The sequence below is a fragment of the Homo sapiens genome, chromosome 4, assembly GCF_000001405.40.
Source record: "Homo sapiens chromosome 4, GRCh38.p14 Primary Assembly".
Taxonomy (NCBI): domain Eukaryota; kingdom Metazoa; phylum Chordata; class Mammalia; order Primates; family Hominidae; genus Homo; species Homo sapiens.
The window spans coordinates 25,279,307-25,286,400 of NC_000004.12; positions in this window are offsets into that span (position 1 = coordinate 25,279,307).

The window sequence follows — 7,094 nt, forward strand, 5'->3', positions numbered from 1 at the left end:
GCGATTCTCCTGCCTCAGCCTCCCGAGTAGCTGGGACTACAGGCGTGTGCCACCATGCCCGGCTAATTTTTGTATTTTTAGTAGAGATGGAGTTTCACTATGTTAGCCAGGCTGGTCTTGAACTCCTGACCTCAAATGATTTGCCTGCCTCGGTCTCCCAAAGTGGTGGGATTACAGGCGTGAGCCACCACGCCTAGCCTAATTCTTTATAATTCCAAAAGATATTTAACTGAAACCTTTATAATTAAAGACATCTTAATTGTACTTAATTAAATATGCCACCACCTTATCACCCCAAAATTTGTCAGCAATTGAAGACTGTTTGTGGAGACATGGTTTTTGCATACTTGAAGATAATTTGATTCACAAAACTTTTCAAAAATTTGAAATACTTTGGGCAGCCGAGGTGGGCAGATCACCTGAGGTCAGGAGTTCGAGACCAGCCTGGCCAACATGGCAAAACCCCATCTCTACTAAAAATACAAAAATTGCCCAGGCGTGGTGACACACACCTGTAATCCCAGCTACTCAAGAGGCTGAGGCACAAGAATTATTGAACCCAGGAGGGAGGGTGGAGGTTGCAGTGAGCCGAGATCACACCACTGCCTTCCAGCCTGGGTGACAGAGTAGATTCTGTCTCAAACAAACAAACAAACAAACAAACAAAAAAATTGAAGTACTGTACTATATGGAATTAAAACCTTTTTTAAAAATGACGGTGCCACGTTCTTTGATCAAATTACATCTTAAATCCTTGTACAGCTGTTTGAATAGACAGGCAGCATCCTAGGTTTTATAGTCTGCCTTCTTTCACCAACTTGCTTGGGCAACTGTACAGAGTTGTAGCAGAGATTCTTAGTGCTGTGCTATGTTTCCAAGTCTCTCATGCAATTAGTTTGGGGCCTTGTGACTGAGTTCTGGCCAGTGAGATGTGGAGACAAGTGATATATGCAACTTCCAGGCCTGGCAGTAAAACTGTCACGATTGACCACTCTCTTGTCTTTCCATTCAGCTATGAACGAAGAATTTGCAAAATGGAAGCAGCCAGGGCACAGGAGGCACTGCTGGGGAAAGCCACCAGGAGAGCCTCCTGACTGCACTTGATGGTGACATGAGCAAGAAAGAAGTTCCATGTTGAGTCACTGCAGTTTTGAATGTAATTGTTACTCTAGCTTCGTCTCTCCTATCCCAGACATTATGATGTAAAAAGAAAAATACCAATCACTTTTAAATAGGAGGCATACCGTAACATTTCTTCACTAAAGCTAGGTGAAAGGTTATCTTTTTGAATTCCAGAATATGAATAGTTTGGGTTAAAACCATCAATACATGGCCAGGCATGGTGGCTCATGCCTGTAATTCCAGCACTTTTGGAGGCCAAGGCGGGAGGATCCCTTGAGCTCGGATAGTTTGAGACTAGCCTGGGCAACATAGTGAGACCTCATCTCTTAAAATAAATAAAATCAATACCAACAAGATCACGTGGCAATAGCAGCTTCGGAGGATCAAGCAGAGAGAAGGGAAGGGGGATTTGTGATGGTCCTAAGAGCCAAAGAACCCAGAATTTGCCACCATGTACCAAGCCCCCACAAGAAGGATCCCCAATAGCGGTGGGAGTTTCAATTGGTAGAACCAAAAACCACAATCAAAATTAGGAGAAGGCTGCCCAGCATTCACCTGGTAGCTAGCAAAAAGGCCTGCAGAAAGGTGTGAGGGTACTAAGGCAATCTGGTCTTCGTAGTTTTCAAAAATAACCAGTGAGAGGACATAGGGCTATACCAAGAAAAAGTACTGGGAATAGAACATGCACAGACGAGGGAAGGACCCCAGGGGTAAAGGAGAGTGGTTCAGATAATGAGAGAAGAGGGGACCAAATGAATGAGACCGAATTCAGAAAGTACTGAAGAGGTAGGAACACACAAAACCATCTTATCTAATACTCTAATAACGACAGAAGAGAGAGCCCTAGAGCCACGAAGCTCAGAAACTGTCCTAGCCCACCCTCACCTCCTACACAGGAATCTTCTAAAAATACAGGAGGAAACATATAGAAAAATCCATCTGATTTAAACATCTTACAAGATGTAAGACTACATCTTACAATATGCTTGAAGAAAAAAAGGTTTACAATCTGCATAACATACCCACAGAAATGAAGATATCCCAGAAACATCTCTCTAAAGCAAAGGAAAACAGTAATCTAATGTTTTAAAACATGCTGAAGGAATTTAAGAAGCCATGGAAGCTAAGAAAGAACAAAAAAATTGAAAAAACTCTGATCGGGCATGGTAGTTCATGCCTGTAATCTCAGCACTTTGGGAGGCCGAGGTGGGAGGATCCCTTGAGGCCAGGAGTTGGAGAGCAGCCTGGGCAACATGGCAAGCCCCCCATCTCTACAAAAAAAATGTAAAAATTACTTAGGTGTGGTTGTGCATGCCCATAGTCCCAGCTACTAAGGAGGCTGAGGCAGGAGGATCACTTGAGCTCAGGAGTTCAAGGCTGCTATGGTCACACCACTGCACTCCAGCTCAGGCGACATAGACCTGTCTCAAAAAATAAAAATAAGGCCAGGTGTGGTGGCTCACACCTGTAATCCCAGCACTTTGGGAGACCAAGACAGGAGGATCCCTTGAGCCCAGGAGTTCAAGACCAGTCTAGGCAACATAGGAAGACCCCCATCTCTACAAAATAAGTAAACTAGAAGGAACACAAGTGCAAATAGACAACATATCTGCAACCACCCAACAGCAAACATCGTACTTAGTGTTGAAAAATCTAAAGCTTTGGGTGTTCGTTCTCTATTGCTGCTCTAATAAGTTATAATAAACTTAACTGGCTCAAAACAACAGATTTATTATCTTACAGCCCGTAGGTAGATGTCTTGATGCAGGTTTCATTGGGCTGAAATCAAGGTGCCAGTAGGGCTGCATTCCTTTCTGGAAGCCTTCAGGGAGAATCCATTTTCTCACCCTTTCCAGCTTTTTAAGGCCACTCACATTCCTCGGCTCTGTTTCTCCTCCTCCATCTTCAAAGTTGGAGGTAGTGCGTTGAATCCTTTTCTTATTGCATTGCTCTTAAACGGACTCTTCTGCCTTCTTCTTCCACTTTTAAGGGCCTTTGTGATTACATTGGGCCCTCCCAGATAATCTAGAATAATTGCCCCATTTTTAAGGTTGGTCGATATACAACCTTAATTCCATTTGCAACTTTTAAATTCCCCAGATAGAGACATCTTTGGGAACCATTATTCTGGCTTTGCACTTTCCCCCTGAGATCAGTGATGTGATGAGGACACCTGCTTTTGCTGTTTTTATTCAAGTGTTATACTCTAGAGCCTAACCAGTGCAGTAAGGCAAGAAAGAGAAGTCAAAGGAAGAAATAAAATTGTGATTATTTACAGATGGCATAATTATGCATATTGGAAATTCAAAAATATCTACAGAAACCTATTAGCCTTAATAAGTGAATTTTGCAAGGTTTACATATGAGCAACGTTAGTCTGAAAATTTTAAAAGAGATCATTTATAGCAGCATCAAAACACATTGGATTCCTAGAAATAAGTCCCATGAAGATGAGCAAGACCTCTACACTAAACCATAAGAGAGCACTGGAAAAAATGAAAGATTCTGATAAGTGGAAGGCTGTACGATGCTTAGGTATTGATAATATTAAGACATTGATTCTCCCAAACTTATAGATTCAACTCAAAATCCTATCTGATTTTTTTTGTAAAAATTGACAGCTAATTCTATAACGTATATGGAAATGTTCTGCCCAAAACAACTGGACAAGAAGAACGAAGTTGGAGAACTTATGCTACCTGATCTCAAAACTTATAAAGCTACAGACATTGTAGCATTGGTGTATAGATAAACACATAGATCAATGAAACAGAATAGAAAATCCAGAAATAAACCCAACACGTGGTAAACTGATTTTTTAACAAAGGTGCCAAGGCAATTCAATGGGAAAGGATAGTCATTTCAACAAATGGTGCCGTAGAGGGAGATAGGCAAAGAAATCAAAGATGAATCATCACCTGTACCTCATAGACTTAAAAGAGTTAATAAAAGCTAAACTTCAGAAGAAAACAGCAGAAAATCTAATGGTTCTGGGTTTGCAAAGATTTCTTAGACTACAAATGGCATAAACCATTAAAAAAAAAAAAAAAGGAATTTGGGCTTCATGAAAATTAAAAACTTCTTTTCAAAAGACACTTTTAAGAAACTGACATTTCTAGCTACAAACTGAGAGAAAATGTTTGCCAAACATATCTAGTAAAGTACCTGTATCCAGAATTCCAGAATGTATGAAGTGATCTTACAACTCAAGAATATTCCCAGGCCGGGCGCAGTGGCTCATGCCTGTAATCCCAGCACTTTGGGAGGCCAAGGCGAACGAATCACTTGAGGCCAGGAGCTCAAGACCAGCCTGGCCAACATGGCAAAACTCTACTAAAAATAGAATTAGCCGGGCTGGTGGCACATGCATGTAATCCCAGCTACTTGGGAGGCTGAGGCATGAGAATCCCTTATATCTGGGAGGCAGAGGTTGCAGTGAGCTAAGATCATATCACTGTACTCCAGCCTGGATGACCGAGCAAGACTTTGTCTCAAAAAAATTAATTAACAATAATAAAAGAATATTCCCAATTAAGAACCAAAAGATTTAAAAAGACACTTCACAAAAAAAGATGTAGAAATGAATGTCCAATAAGCACATGAAAAGATATTCAACATTGTTAGTCATTAGGAAAATGCAAATAAAAACCATGAGTAAAGTTAAACATACACTTATACCATCCGGTCATTCCACATCTTTGTACTTGCCCAAGATAAATAAAAGCAAATGTCCACATGAAAATGTTCATAGCAGGCTGTTTTGTAATACTCCGAACTAAAAATAACCCAGGTGTCCACCAACAGGTGAATGGATAAGCAAAATGCAGCATATCCATACAATAAAAAGATATGAACTACTAATACACAGTGACATGGATGAATTTCAAAATCATTACGGTAACTGGAGAAGCCAGACACAGAACATACTGTATGAATTCCACTTATATAAAATTCTCTAAAATGAAAACTAATCTATTGTTAAAGAAAAAAGTGGGTATGGACATTGAAGGAGGGTTAGATTGCATGCAGGCATAAGGAAACTTTGGGAGATGATGGAAATATTTTTATTTTATGATCCAGGATCTATGTATAAGACATGCAGATTTATTACATAGGTAAACGTGTGACATGATGGTGTGCTCCATCTATCAACCCATCACCTAGGTATTAAGCCTCATATGCATTAGCTATTTATCCGGATGCTGTCCCTTCCCCCATACCATCCCTGCAACAGGCCCCAGTGTGTGTAGTTCCCCTCCCTGTGTCCCTGTGTTCTCACTGTTCAGCTTCTACTTGTAAGTGAGAACATGTGGTATTTGTTTTTCTGTTCCTGCATAGTTTGCTGAGGATAATGGCTTCAAGCTCCATCCATGTCCCTGCAAAGGACATGATTTCATTCCTTTTTAAGGTTGCATAGAATTCCACGGTATACATTTACCACATTTTCTTTATCCAGTCTATCATTGATGGACATTCGGGTTGACAATAATAATAATAATTCCATGTCTTTGTTATTGTGAATAGTGCTGCAATGAACATACATATGCATGTGTCTTCATAATAGAATGATTTGTATTCTGGCCGGGCGCGGTAGCTCACGCCTGTAATCCCAGCACTTTGGGAGGCCGAGGCGGGGGGATTGCGAGGTCAGGAGATGGAGACCATCCTGGCTAACAAGGTGAAACCCCTTCTCTACCAAAAAAAATACAAAAAATTAGCCGGGCTTGGTGGTGGGCGCCTGTAGTCCCAGCTACTAGGGAGGCTGAGGCAGAAGAACTGCTTGAACCCATGAGGTGGAGGTTGCAGTGAGCCGAGATCACGCCACTGCACTCCAGCCTGGGCGACAGAGCGAGACTCCATCTCAAAAAAAAAAAAAAAAGAATGATTTGTATTCCTTGGGTATATACCCGGCAATGGGATTTCTGGGTCAAATGGTATTTCTGGTTCTAGATCTTTGAGGAATCCCCACGCTGTTTTCCACAATGGTTGAACTAATTTACATTCCCACCAACAGTGTAAAAGTGTTCCTATTTCTCCACACCCTCACCAGTATCTGTTGTTTCTTGACTTTTTAATAATCACCATTCTGACTGGCATGAGATGTTATCTCATTGTAGTTTTTTGTGTGTGTGAGTGAAGGAGTCTCACTCTGTTGCCCAAGCTGGAATGCAGTGGTGTGATCTCCCCTCACTGCAATCTCTGCCTCCTGGGTTCAAGCGATTCTGCTGCCTTAGCTTCCCAAGTAGCTGGGACTATAGGTACACACCACCATGCCTGGCTAATTTTTGTATTTTTAGTAGAGACAGGTTTCAGCACGTTGGCCAGGCTGGTCTTGAACTCCTGACCTCAAGTGATCCACCTGCTTTGGCCTCCCAAAGTGCTGGGATTATACGCATGAGCCACTGTGCCCAGCCTCACTGTAGTTTTGATTTGCATTTATCTAATGGTCAGTGATGTTGAGCTTTTTTTCATGTTTGTTGGCTGCATAAATGTCTTCTTTTGAGAAGTGTCTGTTCATGTCCTTTGTCTACTTTTTAACAGGGTTGTTTGTTTTTTTCTTGTGTATTTGTTTAAGTTCTTTTAGACTATGGATATTAGACCTTTGTGTAGTTGCAAAAATTTTCTCCCATTCTGTAGGTTGTCTTTCTCACCAATAATAGTTTCTTTTGCTGTGCAGAAGCTCTTTAGTTTAATTAGATCCCATTTGTCAATTTTTGCTTTTGTTGCAATTGCTTTTGACCTTTTTGTAATGAAATCTTTGCCCATGCCTATGTCCTGAATGGGTATTGCCTAGATTTTCTTCTAGGGTTTTTACAGTTTGGGGTTTTACCTTTAAGTTTTTAATCCATCTTGAGTTAATTTTTATAGAAGGTGTAAGAAAGGGGTCCAGTTTCAATTTTCTGCATATGGCTAGCCAGTTCTCCCAGAACCATTGATTAAATAGGGAATTCTTTCCTTATTGCTTGTTTTTG